General features: G+C 36.4%; 1 protein-coding gene across 5 annotated transcripts in view; it reads right to left on the bottom strand.

The window, feature by feature from the left end:
- Positions 1 to 26,417, bottom strand: part of CFAP299 (cilia and flagella associated protein 299) — a 642,486-nt gene that overhangs the window by 77,870 nt on the left and 538,199 nt on the right. For all 5 annotated transcript variants that reach the window (XM_047449975.1, NM_001206997.2, NM_152770.3 and 2 more), the window contains one exon: positions 15,746 to 15,888. In XM_047449975.1, the coding sequence (XP_047305931.1) occupies positions 15,746 to 15,888 (143 nt within the window). The remainder of the gene's footprint in view (positions 1 to 15,745; positions 15,889 to 26,417) is intronic.

The raw sequence follows: 26,417 nt of genomic DNA, 5'->3' as shown, positions 1-26,417 counted from the left end.
CCTCACTGTGGATGAGCTGGTACCTAAAGTGCATGGCAAAATCCCCTTTAGTTTTCCCTCTGAAGGAGTCTTTCACAGTAGCCACCACAGCTGGGAATGTGTTGGGTCACCCCTGAAGTCAGAACTTCTCAGTGCCCAAGCCCCATAGCATACTCCCTGAGTATCACTTTTGGTTATTCACAGCCCAAGGACTGTTTAGTCAGCAGGTGATGAATCCTTCAAGGACTGGGTCCTTCCCTTCAAGGTACCTAGTTCCCTTTTGGCCCAGGGTGTGTCTTGAAATGTCATCTAGGAGGTAGAACCTGGAATGGAGGCCTCAGGACTCTGCCTGTTTCCCTATCCCACTGTGACTGAGCTGGTACCCAAGTTGCAAAACAAAGTCCTCTTTTCTCTCTCCTGACCTTGGGCAGGAGGAAGGAGTCACTTTTGTTGCTGTGAGCTGCACTGCCCAGGATTAGGATAGGGATGGTGCAGGCATTCCCATAGCTGCAACATCTTGTGTCTCCCTAGGTCACATTCCGCAGTAGTTCACTGGCTCTAAGCCTAATCTAGCACTAGGAATTGCCTAGGAATTGATTGCAGTCCTTGTGTCCTAGACTGCCTTTCAAGTTTATCTAAAATCCCAGAGCACTTCAGCTTGTAGTAGTGGAGCCTGATGAGAAAGTCAGGTTCCAATTGCTGGGATGGGCAATTGCCATCTGGCTAGGGCTGGTCCAAATACTCCCTCCATGTGTGGGCACTGGCTGAGCCCAGCAAGTCCTTATTATCTGCTGCGTGTGATAGGGCAGCACTGAGTTCAATGTAAAGTCACCCAGTCACTAAACTCTCCCTCCCCAAAGCTCACAGATTCTCTGAGTGGTATTACTGTTGCTGGGGTATGGGGGAGGGATGCTGGTGGCAATTAAGACTGTCTCTCTGAGCCTCTTCCATGCTTCTTTTAGCGATAAGAAATTAAAACCACATACTGCGATTGCTTATCGGAGTTTTGGTTCTTGTGACAATTGTTAACAGTTGTGATTGTGCTTTTATGTGTGAAGATACTTGTTAAAATTTGGTGTTCCAGTGAATGGGGGTGATGAATGATGCAGGGTTCTATTCTGCCATCTTGCTCCACCCTCTCTCCTTTATTTCTTGGTCTAGCTAAAGGAATGTCAACTTTGTTTATTTTATTTTTTATAAAAAATTAGCTCTTAGTTTCGTTGCTCTTTTCTATTTTTTTTTTTTTTGGTATTCGCTATATAATTTATTATTTTTATTATTTTATAATTTTCTTTATTATTTTCTTCCTCTGCTATGTGTAAAGTTAGGTTATTTGAAATATTTTGTTTTTTCTGAATGTAGGTGTTTATTGCTACACACTTTTGGAACTGCTTTTGCTGCATCCCATAAATTTGGGTATGGTGTATTACCATTTAAATGTGTCTAAAGACATTTTTAAATTTCCCTTTTGGTTTATTCTTTTACCTGTTGGTTTTCAGGAGTGTGTTGTTAATATTCCACTTATTTGTGGGTTTTTCCAAAGTTATTCCTATTTATATCTAGTTTCATAATATTGTGCTTGAACAAGAAACTTGATCCAATTTTAAAAAATTTATTGAGACACTTCTGTGGCCTGACATGATCTATCCTGAAGAATATTTCTTGTGCACTTGAGAAGAATGTGTATTCTGCTGCTGTTGGAAAGTTGACCTATAGTGTTGTTCAAGTCTGCTGTTTTCTTTCTGAATTTTTGTTTTATCTGTACATTGTTGAAAGTGGAGAATTGCCTCATGTTCTTACTTATATGTGGGAGCTAAATGACGAGACCACATGGACACATAGAAGGGAACACCACACACCAGTGCATACTGGAGGGTGAAGGGTGGGAAAAGGGAGAGGATCAGAAAAAATAACTATTGAGTACCAGGCCTAATACCTGGGTGATGAAATAATTGGTACAACAAACCTCCATGACACATGTAACAACCCTGCACATCCTGCACGTGTACCCCTGAACTTAAAATAAAAGTAAAAACAAACAAACAAACAAACAAACAAAAAAGTGGACTATTGAAGTCCTCTATTATTATTGTATTGCTATCTCTCCCTTCAAATCTGTTGATATTTGGTTCATATATTTAAGAGCTCTGAGTGCATATTTTAAAAAATTATATCCTCTTAATTCGCTTCTGTATCACTCTATTATGAACTTCTTTATCCCTTGTGAAAATTTTCTATATAAAGTCTATTTTGTCTAATATAAGATTAGACACTCCTGCTCTCTTTTAATTATTACTTTATGTAACATTTTTTTCATGAAAATGTATTCATTTTCAGCCTATTTGTGTCCTTAAAGGTAAACTGAGTCGTTTGTAGGCAGCATATGGTTGGATAATGTTTTCTTATCCTTTCATCCACTTTTTTGATTGGGAAATTTAACTATTTACATATATAGTAATTATTGATAGGGAGGACTTTTAATTGTCATTTTGTTGTTTTCTGAACATTTTGTAGTTTCTTTGTTCCTTTCTTCTTCTCTTGCTGTTTTTCTTTATGATTTCATGATTTTTATAGTGGTATGCTTTGATTCCTTCTCTTTATATTTTCTGTATCTTGCACAGGTTTAATTTGTGTTTACCGTGAGGCTAATATATGCCATCTTTAGTTATAACAGTCCATTTTCACATGATAAGAACTTAAGTTCAATCACATACAAAAACTCTCAACTTTTCTTCTTCATTCCTCTCATATGCTTAATGTTATTAGAGTCAAAATGTATAACTTTTAATATTGTATATTTATTAGCAAATTATTGTAGTTATATTGTTATGCATTTGTCTTTTAACTTTTATATGAATTGAACATGATTTATGCATCACCATTATTATATTTTATCTATATCCTTATTTTAAGCAATGAGATTTATAATTTTATGTATTTTCATGCTTCTAATCAGCATCTATTTGTGTCCTCTTCATCTTGAAGAATTCCCTTTAGCATTTCTAATAAGGCAGGTCTTGTAATGAGCTCTCTCAATTTTTGTTTTAGAGTTTTTCTCTCTCCTTCATTTCTGAAGGATAGCTTTGCTCGTATATTATTTTTGGTTGGCAGTTTTTTCTCTTTTAATATTTTGAATATATTATCTCATTTTCTTCTGTGCTACAAAGTTTCTGCTGAGAGGTATACTTATAGTCTTATGGTGATTATCTTGTATGTAATGAGACACTTTTTACTTACCACTTTTTTTTTCAATTTTTTTTTTTTGAGACGGAGTCTCGCTCTTTTGCCCAAGCCTGAGTGCAGCGGCGCTATCTCGGCTTACTGCAAGCTCCGCCTCCCGGGTTCACGCCATTCTCCTGCCTCAGCCTCCGGAGTAGCTGGGACTACAGGCGCCTGCCACCGCGCCCGGCTAATTTTTTGTACTTTTAGTAGAGACGGGGTTTCACCGTGTTAGCCAGGATGGTCTCGATCTCCTGACCTCGTAATCCGCCCGCCTCGGCCTCCCAAAGTGCTGGGATTACAGGAGTGAGCCACTGCGCCCGGCCTTACTTACCACTTTGAACTTTGCTTTTCCTTTGACTTTTATAATTTGATTACAATGTATCTTTATGTAGACTTCTTTAAATTCAACCTATTTGGGTTCCTTTGGCCTTCATGAATCTAGCTTTCCATTTCCTTTTTGAGACTGAGGATGTTTTCCATCATTATTGCTTTAAATCACTTTCTACCAATTTTTATCTCTATTCTCCTTCTATAACTTCCATAACACGTATATTGATTCTCTTGGCAGAGCTGCATAAGTTTCTTAGGCTTTCTTCAGTCTTTTTCATTCTTTTTTTTTGCTCCTCTGATGGAACAATTTAAAATAACCTGTCTTTAAACCTACTGATTTTTTATTCTGCCTGATAAAATCTGCTGTTGAGGCCTCTAGTAAATTTTTCATTTTGGTTATGGTGTTCCTCTGCCTCAAAATTTCTGGTTAATTCTTTTTCATCATTTCTATCTCCTTATTGAATTTCTCATACATTTCATCTATTGTTTTCCAGATTATGTTCAGCTGTCTATCCACGTTCTCTTGTAACTCACTGAGCACCTTTAAGATGATTATTTTGAATTCTTTTGCAATTCACAGATCTCCATTTATCTTGGGTTAGTTACTAAAAAATTGTTTTCTTATTTAAATTTTGTTATGTTTTCTTAATTCTTCATATTCCTTGTAGGTTTACTTTGTTGTCTGTACATTTAAAGAAGCAGATACCTCTTCCAAGCTTTATGTACTAGTCCAGACTCAGAGAGGCATACACACTGGTCAATAGTGCCTAATATGAGGCAAGATAGAGGCCAACTCAACAAGGAGCACACTGTAAGGCTGGAAACTTACTGGAAACTTTCTTCCCCCTGGAGGAAAAGCCTCAGTTCTGTGCTTTTTCCAATTTTATAGAGCAGTGCCAGCTATAAGACGATGTTTGTCTCCTTTCTTTGTTGCATACCTTTCCAGGGATTGAGCTCTGCTGGTTATTCAGTGCTTGTTATGATGCAAGATAGAAACTGGCTCCATGGAGGGCACTCTGAGTTGCAGGAGATAAGGCCCCTTCACTTCTTTCTGTCTTTTCTGGAGGAAGAACCTCTGTTATGCACCTTATTTCCAATCTCACAGAGCTGTTAGGGGCTGCCCTCCCCTTTCCTTGGAACTGGGCTCTGCCAGTCCTTCAGCATTTAGTATGAGATGAGAAAGAACCTCACTCCATAGAGGGTTCTGAAATGCCTGCAATAGAATTCCCTTCACTTTCTTCCTTTCCTCCTAGAGATACAACCTCAGTTCTGTGCCTTTTCCTTATCTTGAATAGCAATGCTGGCTGTGAGGGAATTCTCTTCTCTTTCCTTTATTTCTAGTTGTTTAGAGGACTGGCATCTACAGGTGGTTCAGTGCTCAGTACGAGGCCAAAAAGAATCCAGCTGCAAGAAGGGCACCCTGCAAAGGCAGGAGGCTAGGTGGCCAGGCACACACTGCAATCTCACTTTCCCCACTATAGGAGAAATCATGTACTAAGGCAAGCTTCTCAGTGTTAAACTAAGATTGTTTTGGGGAAGAACCCACATGGATAAAGTAAAATTTCATCTTTTTAAAATTTTAATTTAATTTAATTTTATTTTATTTTATTTTATTTTATTTTTTGAGACGGAGTCTCGCTCTGTCACCTAGCCTGGAGTACGGTGGTGTGATCTTGGCGCACTGCAACCTCCGCCTCCTGGGTTCAAGTGATTCTCCTGCCTCAGCCTCCCAAGTAGCTGAGACTACAGGCACCCACCACCACATCTGGCTAATTTTTTTTTAGTAGAGATGGAATTTCACCATATTGGCCAGGCTGGTCTCAAATTCCTGACCTTGTGATCTGCTCGCCTCGGCCTCCCAAAGTGCTGGGATTACAGGCGTGAGCCACTACACCTGGACGATTATATTTCTTAACCGCATTCTGAATTTCTCCTCAAAATATTTTGGTACTAATACTGTTGTTATATTGACATTTTTTTTTTCTGGAGAAATAAAAGCTATGGCTTTCTACTTTTCTGTCTTGCTGACATTCCCCCACCTTCTCTCAAAGCAATAATTCTTATTTAAATGAACTCATTTCATGTATTTATACAAAAGGCATTCAAGAAGACTTCCTAATTTGGAGGTGTTTTCATGAACTTCAAGCCATTTCCATCCTCTCTTCCCTCCTTCCTTTCTTGTTTGAATAGATTCTCTCCCCCCCTTTCTCCCCGCTTCCCTCCTCCTGTTTCTCCTTTCTTTCCTCATTTCTTTTTCCCATTCTTCATTTTTTATGTTCATTTTCTGAACTTTCTTGACAGTGCATCACAGTCAAAGGACTTTGGTACTCAGTTTATCCTGGAATTTAAACAATAGAATCCCAAAGGTCTGACTTTGTAGACCTCCAAATGCATGAATGATAGTAAAGACAGATTATAGGAAATAATAAGAAGGTATGTAGGCATTCTGACTGACTTGACTTTTCATGCTTAGACTCATTTATCACTTTATTTATTTGAATATAAGAAATGGAGGAAAAGGTTGAATTCTGTGTTATGACTAGAGAAGCCGAACAACTTTAATAAGTGCCATTAACCCATTTCATTAAATTTTGGCACAGTGGTGCATACACATGTTAACAGATTGTAAAGTATGTTCATTAATTAAAATTACACATCTTGAGGGCTTATCTGCTTCACTCACACTCTTTAAAAATAATATGTAAAAAATAAATAAAAATTAAACATAAATTTCGATTGAAAGTAAAAATGCCGAGTGTTAAAAACAAATGAAAATACAGAGATGAGATTTTTAGATCCAAGTAACCAACAAGTTAACATTATACTGTCACTTCTACAGCTAAATTAACATGTAATTCTTCTAATGTGTAATGGTCAGGCAATCAAAGAATAGATAAATATACAGCATGCTGGAATGTTAAAAAAAAATTGGACTAGGGATTAGGAGACCTAAGATCTAGTCCCATTTTTGTTACATCTACCCTGTTGTCCATAAGCAAGCTAATTATTTCTCTCTTCATTTGTGGGGTTTGTACTTAAGCATCTCTAGATTTTAGATTTCCAATTATCACTAGACTTATAGGGCTACTGAAGTTGCTAATGTTGGACCACTGCACAAATTCTTCCTGAAATATACTGAGTTACATGTACTCCAAGAATAGGAACTGATATTTCCTGATGCCCCAGAGGGTGAAATGTGTCCCCTGAAGCATCATTTACCTTAGTGATTTTATTGTGTGGTGCCCATGGAAATGTTATCTAAAGAATAATGATCATGGTGCATCCTTATTTCTTTTATTAACCCAAATGATACAGTCATCATAAGAGATGAGATAGGGAAGCTATAGGACAGTAGAAATATTTATTTAATGTCCTCAAGTTTATTTTTGCCACATAAAATAAAATTAAGTTTTCCATGGAAATAATGGGTTTGAAAATTTGTGACATGACCTGACAAACTATCTCTGATAAGACAATATCTCAAGGAAAATGATTCTGAGTTCTAAACAATAAACAATTTAATTTTGGTGCATAGCTTATTTCTACATTGAAAGTTGTGTACAATTCCTGCAAGCTCCACTTACAGCTTTAACTCTACTTAAATTCTGTTTTCACAAGTACTATCCTTTCTTCTAATTTAGAAAATTAAATGAAAATAACTGTGGAAAGCAAAGTTAATTTGCTACTAATATACTTTCTTGTAAAATGTAAATTTTAAAGAAAAAAACAGAAAAACAAGTAGGCTTACATAAATACACAAAAGTTATTTCATACTAGTTTAGGTATTAAATTTTGTTAAAAAAGGAAAATATATCTTTTTAGAGGAATGATATAGCAAGTCTTCTTTAACCAACAGGTCAAACTGAGCATCACTGATAATGAGACAACTTGACATTAGGTGCTTCCTGATATGATGCAATATGTAATGGAGAAGTTCTTGTCTAAAAGAAATATTTATACTGAACAAAATGAAGCCTTTAGAGTTATCTCCCAGTATAAAGAAAATACACAGATAAGAGAAATGAGTCAGATATTACCACAAGGAAACAATCAGACAAGTTCAGAATGTGGAACAATCTAAAAGACAAGGGTCCTGTGTTTTTAAAACGTCAATGTCATCACAAAGAAAAGAATATTTGGCTGGGAAGTATGGAGAGAGGTGCTCTTTTAAAGAAAAGGACAGTAAAGAGACACAAGCAATGTAATTTTTATACATTGAATGATGATTCACACAAGTAGCTATAATACATTTTGGACATACTTAAGAAAATTTAAATATGAGCTAAACATTAGATGACAGTAGAAAATAATTATGAATTTTTATCTAAAATAATGGTGATGTTATGTAGGAGGATGTCCTTATACTCATGAGACGCAAGATGAAATATTTTAAGGTGAAATCTGTAAGCTACTTTCAAATAGTACAAACATAGACACAAATAAACACACACCAAAATACCAAAAGAGAATTGAAGCAAGTTTGGAAAAATGTTAACAATTGTTTTGTCTAGGTTGTGAGTATATTAGCCTTCATTGTACTATTCTTTGAACTTTTCCAAAACTTAAAAAAAATTAATAATAAAAAGTTGAAAAAGTTGCACAAAAATTTGAATGTATTTAATGTCACTCAACTGTACACTTTAAACGGTTAAACTGAAATTTTATGTTGTGTATTTTTGACCAAAAATTTTAAAAAGTTGGAAAAAATCTTATGTAGAGTAATCCTGTCTTAACCACAGTCAGTGTCAATAAACTAGAGGTTTTGTGAGATCTCTAATTATTCACTTAAGGTTTATCCAGAGACACAATCTTCAAGGAAACACATTCTAGACAACTAAAGAAACTACCAAGTGATTGCTCTGGGATTCTGACTTTTTCTTTTAAAGCAATGGACCAAACTGTGCATGAATAATTTCTGTCATTAGATGACACAGACAGATACTCTAGTAAGGATTCAGTAGGAATTGTTAGTCCTAGTTTATGGGTTATATGCACAGTATATGGCTTTTGGGATCTCTGCTCTATTTCTGAATTTTCCATGAGAGACAGTACTTAATATTTAGCTTGGAATAAAGAGAAGCTAAAATGAGTTAAGTATTGGAAAATTAAATTTATCTGTAAAAGAATTCCAAGTAGATATTACAAAATTTTTTTGAACCACAGTTCAGAGGATATGAGTAGATTCTAAAAGTATCCTGGGACATAACTGAGGTTCAACAAGTCAGGGCCAATGTTTCCCTAAAGACTTTTAGGCTGAAACCACAATTACAGGTCACTTTTAATTCTGTTCAGAGCTCTTCCACACACAAAGCTGTGGGGACACTATAATTCTTACTCACAGTGACTGAAAATGAAAGCCTGGTTAAGTACAAAGGGGTGTTTTCTGCCAAGCTCAATGAAAGAAGGAAGTGGCAAGGGTGGGTACAGGATGGCCAAAATTTCCTAGTCTTAACTGTGGACAGCAGGATTGCTTAAAGTTCTGAAAAATATTCCTAAATTAGGTCTTGTCACAGGAGACACACTTCTGACAAAAAAAAATATGACCTGGGAAGGATTGGGATATGGATTTGAGGTCAAAAGTGACATCTTTACATGTCAAAGTCTTAAATGGAATAATGTACTGAATTAAAAAAAATAATGGCAGTGATCTCTGTTTGGTCCTGGATTTCTGGTTGTACATATGTATGTGTCTGTATATAACTTTGGTTAAGCCAGCTAACACTTTAATGATACAGGTTTTTTAAGTGTTAAAATGTGAAAAAGGTCTTGTATTAGTCCATTATTATATTGCTATAAGGAAACACCCAAGACTGGGAAGTTTATAAAGAAAAGAGGTCTAATTAACTTACAGTTCCACATGGCTGGGGAGGCCTCAGGAAACTTACAATCATGGCAGAAGGCACCTCTTCCCAGGAAAGCAGGAGAGAGAATGAGTGCCAGCAGGGGAAATGCCAGTTGCTTATAAAACCATCAGATCTTGTGAGAACTCACTCACTATCCTGAGAACAGTATGGAGAAAACTGCCCCCATGATTCAATTACCTTCCATCAGGTCCCTCCCGTGACATGTGAGGATTATATGGATTACAATTCAAGATGAGATTTGGGTGGTGACACAGCCAAACCATATCAGGTCCCTAACCTATAAGGTTGTTGTAAAGAGAAAATGAAATATTATATATAATATAATATTTATAAATGTAATATATAATATTTATATATAATATGTAATATATAAATTATTTAGTACAGTGCTTTAGTTATTAATTAGTACTATGCACAGTAAGTGCTCAGTTAACATCATCATTGTTTTTAAATCATCATCATAATCATCTCAGACTGACGCAGTTCAACCTTGTAACCACGGTATGGAACAACCTGAGGGAGACCAAGGGCTGAAATAAACTCACACGTAGTGGGTGAGCAAAGAATATCATGACTAGGCTAACAGAAAATATGACCTCTAGAATCTAAGATAGCAGTTTAAACCAGAAGTCACAAACTCAAATGCCTAAAAGAAGCTAGCAGGTACTATGCATGAGTAACTCAAGGGTGATGGTGGTATCACTATATGTGGTTAGTGAAGTCTGTGTTAATCTAGTAAAAATATGCCCCATCTGAGGAAGCAGCTGCAGTTTAATTCTGGATGACAGTTGAGATGAGAGATCTTTTTTTTTTTTTTTTTTGAGACAGAGTTTCACTCTTTTTGCCCAGGCTGGAGTGCAATGGCGCGATCTTGGCTCACCGCAACCTCCGCCTCCCAGGTTCAAGCGATTCTCCTGCCTCAGCCTCCCAAGTAGCTGGGATTACAGGCACCTGCCACCATGGCCAGCTAATTTTTTTTTGTATTTTTAGTAGAGACGGGGTTTCACCATGTTGGCCAGGGTGGTCTCGAACTCTTGACCTTGTGATCCACCCGCCTCGGCCTCCCAAAGTGCTGGGATTACAGGCGTGAGCCACCGCGCCCGGCAAGATGAGAGATCTTATAAGTTTAAAGAAAATTTCAAGTCCAAGATATTTTGTGGGAAATTTTTTGTTTCTGAAACATTGACACAATTTTACATACAATTGTGCAGGCCAAATAAACAATTCTGCAGGCAGATCTGGTCCAATGACTAATTGCTGATCTCTGGTTTCTGGCTTTTTACATCATACCTATCTAAGATTAGTACTGGTTCTAAAGATTGGGGTGAGATTGAGCCTCTGGGTTGGGGACAAGTAGACCAGAAGAGTGTTGCTTAATGGAGATATAATACGATATGAGCCAGCAATGTGAACCACAGATGTATTTTTGAATTTTCTAGTAGTCGCATTAAAAACAAATAAAAAGAAATAGGTAAAATTATTTTAATAATGTATTTTATAACTCAAAATATCTATCACATTATTATTTTAACATGAAATAATAATTACTAATAAGACATTTTATATTTTTATGAGAAGTCTTCAGAATCAAGTGTGCATTTTACACTCACAGTACATCTTAATTCAAGGTTAACCATACATCAAGTACTCGGTGGCCATATGCGGGTAGTAGCTACCCTACTAGAGAGCACCAGTCTAGGGCATGCTTCTCAAAATTTAATATTGCTATGGTTTGAATGTGTCCCCTCCAAAATTTATGTTAAAACTGGTGTATTAAGTGGTAGGGCTTTTGGAAAGTGATTAAGTCATGATACTTCTGCCTCAGAAATGGATTAGTGCCTTATAAAGAAATTGGAGGGAACTAGTTTAAGCCCTTTTCTGGCACCATCTTGGAAGCAGAAAGGAGGCCTCACCAAATGGCAATTCTGCCAGCACCTTGGTCTTGGATTTTCCAGCCTCCAAAACCATGATAAATAAATTTCTATTGTTTATAAATTACACAGTCTGTGGTATTTTGTTATAGCAGCACAAACTAAGACAAATAAGCATATGGAAATATTGAGGATCATGTTAATATACTAATTCTAACTCAGTGGTTGGAAGAGAACCTGAGATGCTTCACTGTGGGTTCATGGACTATACTTTGCGTATCAAGGAGCTAGGTAGTTGCGGCAAGTCTCCTTTAGTTAGTAGGTTTTCGCTCAAAGTATTTCCCCCTCTTTCAAATTCAGTGAATATCTGCTGAACAGACTAAACTAATATTCTAATGAACAATCACCATATTCGAATTTGGAAAAGCATTAATAACTTTAAAAATAGGCAATATTTTAATACTATTTGTAGAAACCCTGGGTTCATTTACTGCTTTATTTTTTCCTTTTTAAACTTGAGAATCAGCCAATATGTTACCAGAATGCTTTCAGAAGAATGCACTTAAGCACAGGATAAGTGCATATAATTCTAACTTCAGGGGCTTGGAACGTTAAACATTTTAATAAAACAGACAATGGGACTTCAAGGGAAATTTGACAATAATACCTTTCAAAGCTTTAGTATTTAAGGTCATTTTCTGGTCAAGGGTATGAATATTTCATGGAAGCTCTAAAAAGAAACACAAAGAAAAGTTTTTCATTTCCTCTTGATTATCCTATCTGAGGGATGGGTAGAGCTCTATAGGCAAGCCTTAGATCTTTGTTCAACACATGCATAAACATGGAAATGTATGCAAATATATGCGGAGCTTATAAGTGATTCTACATGGTACAGTTGTCCTTGGGATATAAAAGCTTAAACCAGGAATAGTGTTCTAGAGGTGAACAGTGAATTAGAATGCTGAAGAACTTGTCCTGTCTCATCAGTGTTTCACTTATGAACTTTAGTAAGTGGTTTACTCTTTATCTTTTCCTCTCTCTGATGGTAAGAATAATGCTTGTCATGCCCATATCAACAGGGAAGTGTGAAGGAACTTGAAATTGTAACCTGCTATCCACTTATAATTACTCACAAGTGTGTCAAAAAGAAAGTACTGAATCTTAAAGACATAGTTAAGATGGAAGCTGAATTGAAAAGATTGCCAGTTTGGTCAGGGCCCTTTCTACTGCTACATTTCATAATAGTAGCAGCTGTCTATTGACATTTATATTTTCCACAGTAAAAATGCAAGACCAGATTCTAATCATAGCCACAAAATGTTTGTCTCTGCATAGAATAAAAGACCATGCTAAAAGGTAAGGATATAGAGACTTTATGAAATATTTAATTTTAAATTTTGGCTTTAGTTCTGAATCAAACTAAGTATGGAACTTCATACACCTAAGGGACTTTTTCCCCTAATAACAACTGCCTAACTACCATATGCTATATTAATACTGGGCAGTTAAAGATATAAAATCAAAAGCAAAACTATAATATCCTATAAGACAGTATATTTATGACTTCCAAAAAGGATGGGGTTTATTAAACAAAATACAAAAGCACAAACTGCAGAGGTAAAGTTTAAAATGCATTAAGATGACTATCAGAACTTCTGATTTCTGACCATCAAAATCAATGAAAAAAAAAAAAGAAGAAGAACTACACACAGAGAGATGATATTTTGAAATACACATAAGAGGCAAAGGATTAATCAATATCCAAAAATAAATAAAACGAATCTTATAATTTGCAAGAAAAAGAATAGCTCACTTGAAATAACAGGGAAAAATCTTAATAGGTACTTCACAGAAAGAAAATCTGAACAGCCAATAAAAGATACCCAATCTAATAAATAATCAAGTAAATAAAAATGAAAACCACATTGAGAGATCATTTATAACTCACTACAGTGGGAAAGAACAGTTTGTTAATATCTTGTGTTGGTGAGGATGAGGGATAACCAGATCACTTATGCAGTATTTCTCATGGATACAAAATGATACAACTACTCTGAAAAATAATTTGGTATAATCTCTACACTCTTTTGTGTTTCTGGCTTCAAATTTTCTATAAATGAAAAAAATATTTATTTTGTATTTCTGCAGGAATTTATTTCAAGGTAACCAAATAAGTGATAAGGAAAAGTTTTTCTCTATAGAAGAATTCAAGTTAAAAAATTCAGGATAAATAATATAATTATAGATTCACCATTATTCAACCCTTAGTAAAAACATTTAGGTAGCTTTCAATAATAGATGCTAACACCATTGGGTGAAATTTTATGGAAAATCTTGTAATGAAGTAATTAGACTGACACCACTTGAACCTACTGATCGAGCTCAGGAGATCTAAAACTGGGGCGATAGTCAGTACAGAGCATCACATATTAAAATTTCTTACTTAGAAAAAAATTATACTGCATTTAATCAAATCAGTTTATAGGGAATAGAGGAACATAGATAGTAGAATAAACAGCACGATTTTACTGGATCAGTAAAATCCAGAATGTGAGACATTTGAGGACAATGTTTATCAGGACCTGGTTTCTCCAACAAATCAATAGCGTAGAAGATAAAAAGAATGAGGGGGACTGTTGTAAAAAAAAAAAAAAGCATGCAAGAGGTCAAGATATAGTAAGACAAAACACAAAATCACTTGAATTTTGACTGGTCAAACAAACTATAAAAAATAAATTAGACAGTCAATTAAATGTTATTAAGGGTGAAAATGAAATGTGAACTAGGTATTAGATGACATTAAGGAAAGTATTTTGTTAGGTATGATAATGCCAAGATGTTTTCTTTAAAAATGGTATCAGATAAAGATCCATGCTGAAGTGTTTGCAGGTGAAATGAGATATCTTAAATTTGCTTTAACAAAACAAAGCTGCTAAGATAATAGAATTCAGTGTTTTTAATAAATTATTAGTTATAAAGGTGGTGATGAAAAACAAGAGGTCTAGGATAACATCTGGATTTTGCCTTTGGTTTCAAGGGTGATGCCATTTGCCAAGACAGGTGACACAGAAGCAATAGCAGGCTTCAGGAATTAAAATGAATTTAATTTTGAACATAAGTTTTAAGAATCATAAAGGACTCAATTGAGTTTGGAAACCATAAGTTATTAGCACAGCAATCCACAGTTTTGTGAAATTTCCTAAAATTTCCTTCAGCAGTACCCAGTGGGGTAGCTACAAGTGCAGTGAAAAAAATGTGTGGATCGATTGACTTTGGAATGTTAGTAGGTCAGATACAACCAAAAATCAAAAAGACATGGGCAATGGGCATTACTGCAAGAGAGAAGTTAAATGAAATGTTATCCTAGGTAGGACAGGAAAGAGCTAAGTCCATTACAGTGGAGATGGGAGTCAGGCTCGGTGGCTGACGCCTGTAATCCCAGCACTTTGGGAGGCTGAGGCCGGTGGATCACCTGAGGTCAGGAGTTTGAGACCAGCTTGACCAATATGGTGGAACCCTGTCTCTACTAAAAATACAAAAAGTATCCAGACGTGGTGGTATGTGCCTGTAGTCCCAGCTGCATGGGAGGCTGAGACAAGAGAATTGCTTGAACCCGTGAGGTGGAAGTAGCAGTGATCCAAGATTGCACCATTGCACTCCAGCCTGGGCGACAGAGCGAGACTCCATCTCAAAAACAAACAAATCAAAAAAAGGTGATGGATAAGGAAGTCTTCAGATAATATCAGTAAGGGTGGATAGAGGATAACAGGCATCTCAGAGGAGGTAGGTATTGTTATAATCATCAAATAATGATCTGAATACAGCAGTGGAGAGTTAAAGCATAATGCTGCTACTTAATTTTGGGGTTCTATAGTTAAGTAAGAGGGAATAAAAAGTTTTAGCTTGCATGCTATTTAGAAGGGAGTAGAAGAACCCATCTGTGAATAGATTGGCAGTGTAGGGTAGATGCTAGGTGATAGATAAGGGTTCTAGAATAAAAGGCAAGCATTGGTAGTAAAAAGAATGATGGGTGTTAAGGAATGGGTGTCCCAGAATAGGACAGAGATGAGAGAAATGAGGGTGAGCTGATCAGGGGCCAGCACTTTGGCTGGTGACCAAAGAAAAGTGGAGGAAAACATGTTAGATGAGCAGTTCTTGAGGCTTCTGGACAGACCAAGTCCCAAGTGCTGCAAAAGCCTCATGAGGTTAACAAAATTTAGGCACTACTTATCATTAAAAAGGAATGTCACTGGGAATTTACTTATCTTGTCTCTGAAGAATCCTTTTTCTCAGGCTGTTAAAGGAAAAACAATGCATCTATGCTTATTCCTTATTTTAAGATTTAGTTATTTTCATATTAATAACCAGTTATATCACATTCCTGTTATATATACATTAGCATTTTAGGCACAATGTAGACCATAAAATAAAAAGTCTTTGTCCCTGCCTCTAAGGGTGCAAAAATTGTATGTAATTTACCTTATATCTGTAGGCCTTGGAAGAAGTCTTTTTTTTCCAGTAAAGTAGACTTCAAAATCTTCCGTCTTTAGCCTGTGGGCATAGTCGATGTATCCTGATATCTCTTGCCCATGAGAATTTCTGTCACGAATAAAGATCACGGACTGGTAGCACAGAATAGAGAATAAGACAAAAATATAAAAGAGCTGATTTATTATGGAATGCCATAGGATAGAATGATGTAAAACACTAATATGAGTGACCATAGGAAGCAGGGCTTCTGAAAGAGTGGTTATAACATTGAACAGCTTCTTTTTCCCCACTGCACCTAAAAACACATGTTACTCGCCCAGCACGTGGCTCACGCCTGTAATCCCAGCACTTTGGGAGGCCGAAGCGGGCAGATCACGAGGTAAGGAGATCGAGACTATCCTGGCCAACATGGTGAAACCCCATCTCTACTAAAATACAAAAAATTAGCCGGGCGTGGTGGAGGGCGCCTATAATCCCAGCTACTTGGGAGGCTGAGGCAGGGGAATCGCTCGAACCCAGGAAGCAGAGGTTGCAGTGAGCCAAGAACGTGCCACTGCACTCCAGCCTGGGTGACAGACCAAGACTCCGTCTCCAAAGAAAAAAGAAAAGTACTAACAATATTGCAATATTCCAGTTGAAAAACGAAAAGAACAACAGAGATACAATTAACAATTAGTTGTTATTATGCTGATAGCTTTATCTTGATTGCCTTCTCTGATTGTTTAACACTGAATGCTGAGAATACTGTGCTGAAAAGGATTCTCAAGCAAGTTCTTGGTTAAGGGGAGAAAGTGTTGTGATGGATTAGTTATATATCCTACAGATATGGCAGGAGAAACTAGCATTCTTTGTTATTCCTGGGTGCATTCTTATACAGACTTCAATCCTCAGCCCTTTTCATTTTGCCCACATAACTCCATGTAAATTAGTATCAATTTCTCCATGCTTTTAAGCCACTTATTTCTTAATTTATGCAGCACAAATTATAAACAAATGGTAACTCAGAGACTTCTTGCGACTCACACTACAGACCAATGTCTAGCAAGGCTGCGCCTCCTTAAACAAGAACATGAGCTATAATTCTCAATATTTCATAATTTCATATTCATTCCTAAAGGTGCTGGACATCTTTTCACCATCAAGCTTGCTCCCAATGTCAGTTATGTCATATTGGGACACACACACACACACACACACACACACACACACACACACACAGAGAGAGAAGCCCCCACCCATGGAATTATATTACAGAAAAAGAAAAATATCCCAAATATCCTCCCCACTGTCTTTAAATGAGAGATGAACCAAACTTATTTCTCCAGCAGAATGGCAGACTAGATATTGTGACTGACCTTCCTACTAAAAACAAATAAAAATTCTGAATAAAATCTAAAACAATAACTTGTAAAATGCATTGATGCCCTGGCAAGGAAAAGAAATATTCAGAGTCCAAAAACTAAGTGAAAGCAGGAACCCAGAGAGGAGAGCAGGGCCTTAAAATAATCTTTGTTCTGAAAGCATTTGCCCAACCTCAGGGAATTCAAGCAAGGTTTCCATGACCTTGTGGGGTGAGGATGCAGGAAACAAATTCTACCCTTTCAGAGATAGAGGCGCATAGAACTTATTGCCTCAACAGAAAGCTGAGAAATCAAAAATGCATGAAGTACTATCTTCAGTGAATCCAGAAAATAAAAGAATTATCCAGGAACAGTACGCCAGGGAAAATTCTTTCCAGTGAGCAAAATATAAACATCTTCAGACCAAAACAATAATGAGGGATTTGACTAACATCAGATCATTGCTCAAAGAAATTCTGCAGGATATATTTCAGGCAAAAGGAAGTGATTCTAGCTGTCAAGTCAAAGATAAAGAAAAAATAATAATCAAAGAAAGTTGCAAATATAGAGGTACATAGAAACAAATATTGACTGTATAAAACAACAATAATGGCTTCTTAAATAAAAAGAATAATATGTTTAAAATGTTTGAAATAAACTTGTATGTTTGGAGGGAGTGATTAAAGTGTTGTGATGTTCTGGAATTTTCCAGAATGAGGGCAGATGTATTGATCAATTTTAGAATTTGATACATATGTGTGTATAAATCTAGGATGATTATTAATAAATAAGAAATAGTATATATGACCTTTAAATTATAGTGGGATATATAAAGTTAATCAACCAATTAAATAGAAGGCAATAATGAAAAGGAAAATTATAGAAGAGTTAGGAAAAATAAAATACACAAAATGTAAAGATAGTGCCATGGGTTCAATTGTGTCCTCCCCAAATTCATATGTTGACACCTTGAACTCCAGTACCACAGAGGTGACTGTATTTGAAGACAGAGCCTTTTGAAATGTGAATACATTACAATGAGCTTTTTAGGGTGGGCTCTAATCCAAGCTGATTGTGTAAATGTGGACACACAGAGAGATGCCAGGGTGCAGGTGCACAGAGTCAAGACTATGTGAGGACACGGCAAGAAGATGGCCATCTGCAAGGAAAGGGAAAACAGCCCTCCTAAGAAACCAAATCTGCCAACCCCTTCAATTATCTTGGACTTCCAACTTCCAGAACTGTGAGAAAGTAAAATTGTGTTGCTTAAGGCGTTGTCTGGGGTATTTTGTAGTGTCAGCCTTAGCAAACTCACACAGATTATAATAAGTTAAAATAATCAAGTATTTGTAATAAGTATAAATAACTAAATGTTTAAGTTAAAAACAAGCTTATTAGAATATATATATGTATCATATATCATGAAACACAATAACACTTAAAGGTTGAAAGTTAAGTGATCAAAAAACATACATACGGGAGAGTTTTTATCCAAAAAGAGCAGTTATCAGTATACTAATATTAGACAAAATGGATTTTCACATAAAAACCATTACTAGGGATGGAGCTTCACTACATAATGATACAAGGTTAATGTCATAGAAAAACATACAATTCAAAACTTGAGTGAACCTTTAAAAACAAAGTTTCAAGATATTTAAAGCACAAATTGATAGAACTAGAAGAACATATAGACAATTCATGATCACCTTGATGAATTCACTGCCATTATTTCTAGATTAAGCAGAAAATGAATACATAAAAATTATAAAATTGATGTCGATTTAAAGAACTTGAAAACAAACGTGAAGTCTTGGTGTTTATCATAAGCTAATACCAAAATTTCTTTACACTTCATTGTTCTTGTAAGTAAAATGACTGATAATCTAAAATTATATACATTTGGCCATAATTTCACTATTTTATGTTACTATATATAGCCTTCTTGGGTCAGTTAAATCCCCTTTTCCCTGAAACCTGATTAAATTTATTTCAAATATCACTTCTCCAGCTCTGTGAGAGTTAAATGTCTGCTCTGTGATTTTTGTGAATTCTTGGTTTTCTGATGCTGGAGGACTTTAAGTGAGGTCAAGCGGACTATAAGTGCGGGTCCCTCTAGAATCATCGTATACAGCCCTGGGCAAGTCACTCAAACTACTCTCAATGTCTCACTTAGATTCATTAGTTCTGTGCTCTTAAGCACCTTCCTGAAAAATCCAGCAAGTTTCTACCAAAAACAAAGCAAAACAAAAACAAACAAAACAACAGAATCCTGCTTAAACCTGAGCATTTAACTAGTTTGGCCATTGAGCAGCCTCTTTCTTCATGATTCTCCTTTAAGTATGTAGAGCAACAGAGACTCCCTGCCTGCCTGGAACTGCTTAGCTTACATTCATGTGCTGTCAGGGTCATCTGCCCTGAGCACCCAATTTGTAAACATCATGCAAATACTGTTGTTTATTTTCTCAATTAGAATTCTGGTTATTAATCATTGTATCTATGATTTTTTTAAATTTTCAACCAGAAAATGCCCAATTAAATTTTTTAAACCTAAGCTTCTAAATGCAAAAACGATAATCACCTGTGGCTGTTCTCACACAAACCTGCATAGAACAAATGTAAATTCCCTCATTATGTCTTTCCAAGTATGGTTACATATGTGTAAAAGTATAAGAAGATTTGGGAAGATATATATATATATATATATATATATATATATATATAATACTTTAAGTTCTACGGTGCACAAGGTGCAGGTTAGTTACATATGTATACATGTACCATGTTGGTGTGCTGAACCCATTAACTCGTCATTTACCTTAGGTATATCTCCTAATGCTATACCTCCCCCCTCCCCCCACCCCACAACAGACCCTGGTGTGTGATGTTCCCCACCCTGTGTCCAAGTGTTTTCATTGTTCAATTCCCACCTGTGAGTGAGAACATGTGGTGTTTGGTTTTTTGTCCTTGCCATAGTTTGCTGAGAATGATGGTTTCCAACTTCATCCATGGCCCTACAAAGGACACGAACTCATCATTTTTTATGGCTGCATAGTATTCCATGGTGTATATGTGCCACAGAATCTACAAAGACTTGGGAAGATTTTTAAGAAGACTTTTTAGTGAAATTTTTAAAAAGTTTGCTAAAATAAAATATTTTTCTAATGAACACAATGCTTTATTAAATTATTTTTAAAATCCGATTGGAATTATTAGTATGTAGTAATTGCTGACAAATTGTCAGGAAATTACAACTAAACATTTAATTTTAGAAATACATCTTTTAAATGGCACAGTTGAGGGTTATAGAGGCAGAAGAAATGATAACACTGATAATCAGACAGATGTGGTGGCAGATATTAATAGTTGTCAAGAACTTGAGGGTTGGTTGAAATTTCACTGCCTTATTTATATTTTGTGGATTGCCTAAGAATTTGAATGAAGTTAAACTAACAGTCTCAGTTAATTGTGTATTCATTTCAAAATGCATATTTTGCTCCAGAGTTAATAGTAATTATTTCTTCTATGAATACTTGTTATCGTTTATTAAGAAGCCACTATATTCTGAGTGAAGTTTTAAAAGCTTCACATTCATTATCTCATTTAATTGTTTCAAACATTTTATTATGGCTAGATAGCATTATTACCCTCATTTTATAAATGTGGGAGATGAAAGCATTGAGAGTTTTGGTAACTCCCAAGGATATGTAGCTAGAGAGGGGAGCATCCAAACTCACACCCAGCTTGGCTTCCCATGATATTCAGGTTCTTATCTACTGCATGATGGATAGACTTGGATTCAAATGCTGGCTCTGTCACCTACTTACTGTGTGACACTGGTAAGTTAGTAATACATTTTAAAATTTAGTTTCCTCTATAATAAAATGGGCATAATAATACCTAAATTGGTGTGTGAATTAAATAACACTATTTTGCTAAGCCCTTGGTAATGCCTGATACATGGTAAGCACTCAATAAATAATATCTATTGCTTTTGAAAACTTTTGTCATTAATGTTGCTATTGTATTTGTAGCATGTTAAGAGTTTTATAAATTCCTTAGGGGATATGGAAATGGAATAATCATATCAGAATTCCATTGCCTGGTGTATATAGTTATGTTAGGGTTGCCATACATGGTTCAGTTTCTTTCTTAAGTTTAGTTATTCACAGTTAAAACTTTTTATATAATTTGAAGCTAAAATTGAAACAAACGTTTTAGTTATTATATATATATACCTATATATACGTATATGTATATATACGTATATATAGGTATATATGTATATATATGTGTATATATGTATACACATAGGTATATATATACTTATATAGGTATATATATATATATATACCTATATATATACACATACACACACATATATACAAGACACACCCAATTGACAATAAAACCACTATTGTGGCATCCAGAATGGGGCAAATAGGTCAAAAGAGCCCCTTGAAGAATTAGGTTTATTTCAGCCTGAGTGTGATGTATTTCAGTAACTGAAAGCTTTGTTATTCAGAGCCCTATAGACTTAAGAATAATTTTAAAATGTTATAAATAATTGCTTAGGTTTAACTAAAAACATTTTTAAATAAAAGCTTTATTTAAGTATAGTTTACTTAACATAAAAATTCACAATGAAGTTTAAGTGATTTCAATGATTTTTGGTAAATTTATGGAGTTGCACAATACAACTCCAATTTAGAATATTCTCATCACTCCCAAGAGATCCCTTATGACATTTGTAGCCATCCCTATCTCCACCCCCAGCCCCAGGCAATCACTAATCTACTTTCTATCTCTATAGAGTCTCTTTTCTGGATTTTTCATAAAAGTGGAATCATACAATATATGATCTTTTTCATTCTAATAACATTTTTAATCACAGTTAATTTCCCAAAAGACACATGAAAACGATACTTTATATATTAAAAGGCTTTTAAAAATGATGATGCTATGTTTATAAAGGAAAAACTTCCAAAATTCATATTTTCCTTAGATAAAACCCTTTAATCCTATCTAGAACAAGTCAAGGTACAACCAACAAAAGCATTAAAAAAATCACATGCTATTCATTTGAAGCCATGAATACGGATCTATTTATTGGCAACCTAAGCAGAAAATACTAGTTTTTGGTTAACCATGTAAAAAATCCCCACATGAACAAGCAATGAAGAAATATCAAGACACATTGCTTCTGATATTGAAGTGGGGAATAAGACACCAAGGGGCATGTAGAATCTGAGATTTTACTGAGGGAGCCTGTGACCTCAAAAGTGAACCAATGTTAGTTGAAAAGACTTATGCAATACTTAGTTAGGTCCTCATTACCTCTCATATATTGGAAAAAGATGAATTAGAGTAAAATTTAGACCATTAATATATCATTTGGATCTTTGGCTGCTTGTCTTTTCCCAGAAGTGGATTAAAATACAAATTCATGAACTTGTTATAAGCTGACTACATGTGTTGCCTGATTTTTCTTGCCAAATACTAATGAGGGGACATAAAACTGATACATCGAAATGGGACTTTATTGACAGTGAAGCCAAAGTCACTTAAAAAAAAAAAAAAAAGCATGCTAAGCAGTATGTTGCTGTACTGAAACTGAAACATCCTTTTCCAGGGAATGAGAGCTGTCAAACAAAGCTAAGTTCTTGTGTTACCCAGAGAGCAGACTGTCAGTGTGCTCTCTGATAGAGACAAATGAAGGAATCGTTATGTGCTAGAATTTTAAATCTCTTGAATGCGCTAATGAATCATTAATTTTAGGGACCCTTCTTTTTGTTTCAGAACATAAGTGATTTTGCAAATGTAGCCTAAGTTCTCTGCGAATCAACTATTGTTTTCTAACATTTAGAAATGCCCATCATTATAAATCTCTGTGCAACAAGTTATTTTCTGAATGTTTTGTGCTGATAACTGTTTTTAAATTCTATATTATCTCAGTCAATCGCAGTTTTACATATATATATAAAATATATAATTTTCACTATTCATACAATTCACAGGGTTATGTTTAGCACAGTTCTTTGTCTTTCCTGTTGGAGGCTTGGGCTCAGAACAAGCACACTTTTATTTTCCACATCCTGTTGGCCAAAGCAGGTTGCAGGCCAGTCCAGACTCAAGAGGCAGGGCAGAGTGACTTCTTCTCTTGATGGGAGGAACCAAATGTCATTGCAAAAGGTCATGGACAAAGGACAAAGTGGATAATTGCAGCCACTTTGCAATCTGTAGTTATTTACCATAAGAAACTAAGAATTTTGCATATAGCTGGCTTGTTCATTTTGCAATGGTTGGGGATTGATTTCTCAGGGGGAATCATTGTTTTTTTCTCTCCTAGTTTATAAGACGTATCTATATTTTAAATGGCTTTATTTATTTATTTATTTATTTACTATATTTTTCGAGATGGAGTCTGGCTCTGCTGCCCAGACTGGAGTGCAGTGGCACGATTTTGGCTTACTGCAACCTCTGCTTCCCAGTTTCAAGTGATTCTCCTGCCTCAGCCTACCGAGTAGCTGGGACCACAAGCACACGCCACTGCTCCAAGCTAATTTTTGTATTTTTAGTAGAGATGGGGTTTCACCATGTTGACTAGGCTGGTCTCGAACTCCTGACCTCAAATGATCCACCCACCGTGGCCTTCCAAAGTGCTGGGATTACAGGCATGAACCACTGCACCTGACTAAATGGCTTTATTTTGAATTGCCGGTGAAATTAAGAATAATTTAAGAATATCTTGTCTCAATATTAGTATCCAAAATGTTCTAGGATGTCCAGGGATTGAAAATTCTTAAAAATTGAGCTTTAAGTACTTGGAAGAAGAAAATAAAATTATTATATTTATATATGAACTGGTAATTTACTTAGAAAATCCAAAAGAGTGAATTAAAAAACTTCTAAGACAGTTCAATAAGTTGATCCAATACAAAATATTTATACAGAAAAGATGGGTTTTATGCTAGTAATAACCCATTAGCTATTGTGCAGGCAATCTTTACTTGCATTATTTTTTATTAGAATAATAACATTTTGCAAAATATTTTGTGTAAAATAAATTTCTAGAATAACATAAAAACAAAATGAAAAGACTACATCGTTGAACAAAAGTTATGAAATAACTGTGCTGAAATTCTAAGCAAAACACAAGTGGGTATCTTTCATTACTTAAAATTTTAGCTTGAAGAACAAGTGGTTAAGAATAAGATGATTGGAGAGCAGCCAAGATGGCTGAATAGGAACAGCTCCAGTCTACAGCTCCCAGCATGAGTGACGCAGAAGACGGGTGATTTCTGCATTTCCATCTGAGGTACCGGGTTCATCTCACTAGGGAGTGCCAGACAGTGGGCACAGGTCAGTGGGTTCAGTGCACCGTGCACGAGCCAAAGCAGGGTGAGGCATTGCCTCACTTGGGAAGCGCAAGGGGTCAGGGAGTTCCCGTTCCTAGTCAAAGAAAGGGGTGACAGACAGCACCTGGAAAATCGGGTCACTCCCACCCGAATACTGCACTTTTCTGACGGGCTTAAAAAACGGCGCACCAGGAGATTATATCCTGCACCTGGCTCGGAGGGTCCTACACCCACGGAGTCTCGCTGATTGCTAGCATAGCAGTCTGAGATCAAACTGCAAGGTGGCAGCGAGGCTGGGGGAGGGGCGCCCGCCATTGTCCAGGCTTGCTTAGGTAAACAAAGCAGCTGAAAGCTCCAACTGGTTGGAGCCCACCACAGCTCAAGGAGGCCTGCCTGCCTCTGTAGGCTCCACCTCTGGGGGCAGGGCACAGACAAACAAAAAGATAGCAGTAACCTCTGCAGACTTAAATGTCCCTGTCTGACAGATTTGAAGAGAGCAGTGGTTCTCCCAGCACGCAGCTGAAGATCTGAGAATGGGCAGACTGCCTCCTCAAGTGGGTCCCTGACCCCTGACCCCTGAGCAGCCTAACTGGGAGGCACCCCCCAGTAGGGGCAGACTGACACCTCACACGGCCAGGTACTCCTCTGAGACAAAACTTCCAGAGGAACGATCAGAGAGCAACATTCGCGGTTCATGAAAAACCACTGTTCTGCAGACACCGCTGCTGATACCCAGGCAAACAGTGTCTGGAGTGGACCTCTAGCAAACTCCAACAGACCTGCAGCTGAAGGTTCTGTCTGTTAGAAGGAAAACTAACAAACAGAAAGCACATCCACACCAAAAACCCATCTGTACATCACCATCATCAAAGACCAAAAGTAGATAAAACCACAAAGATGGGGAAAAAACAGAGCAGAAAAAATGGCAACTCTACAAAGCAGAGCACTTCTCCTCCTCCAAAGGATCGCAGTTCCTCACCAGCAATGGAACAAAGCTGGACAGAGAATGACTTTGACGAGTTGAGAGAAGAAGGCCTCAGACAATCAAACTACGAGCTACAGGAGGAAATTCAAACCAAAGGCAAAGAAGTTAAAAACTTTGAAAAAAATTTAGACGAATGTATAACTAGAATAACCAATACAGAGAAGTGCTTAAAGGAGCTGGTGGAGCTGAAAGCCAAGGCTCGAGAACTACGGGAAGAATGCAGAAGCCTCAGGAGCCGATGCGATCAACTGGAAGAAAGGGTATCAGCGATGGAAGATGAAATGAATGAAATGAAGCGAGAAGGGAAGTTTAGAGAAAAAAGAATAAAAAGAAACGAACAAAGCCTCCAAGAAATATGGGACAATGTGAAAAGACCAAATCTACGTTTGATTGGTGTACCTGAAAGTGATGGGGAGAATGGAACCAAGTTGGAAAACACTCTGCAGGATATTATCCAGGAGAACTTCCCCAATCTAGCAAGACAGGCCAACATTCAGATTCAGGAAATAAAGAGAATGTCACAAAGATACTCCTCGAGAAGAGCAACTCCAAGACACATAATTGTCAGATTCACCAACGTTGAAATGAAGGAAAAAATGTTAAGGGCAGCCAGAGAGAAAGGTCGGGTTACCCACAAAGGGAAGTGGATCAGACTAACAAGCGGATTTCTCAGCAGAAACTCTACAAGCCAGAAGAGAGTGGGGGCCAATATTCAACATTCTTAAAGAAAAGAATTTTCAACCGAGAATTTCATATCCAGCCAAACTAAGCTTCATAAGTGAAGGAGAAATAAAATATTTTATAGACAAGCAAATGCTGAGAGATTTGTCACCACCAGGCCTGCCCTAAAAGAGTTCCTGAAGGAAGTGCTAAACATGGAAAGGAACAACCAGTACCAGCTGCTGCAAAATCATGCCAAAATGTAAAGACCATCGAGACTAGGAAGAAACTGAATCAACTAACGAGCAAAATAACCA

This window comes from Homo sapiens, chromosome 4 (genome assembly GCF_000001405.40).
Source record: "Homo sapiens chromosome 4, GRCh38.p14 Primary Assembly".
NCBI classification, from domain to species: domain Eukaryota; kingdom Metazoa; phylum Chordata; class Mammalia; order Primates; family Hominidae; genus Homo; species Homo sapiens.
Note: the sequence above shows the minus strand (reverse complement) of the source record. Positions and strands in the feature narration are given on the sequence as shown.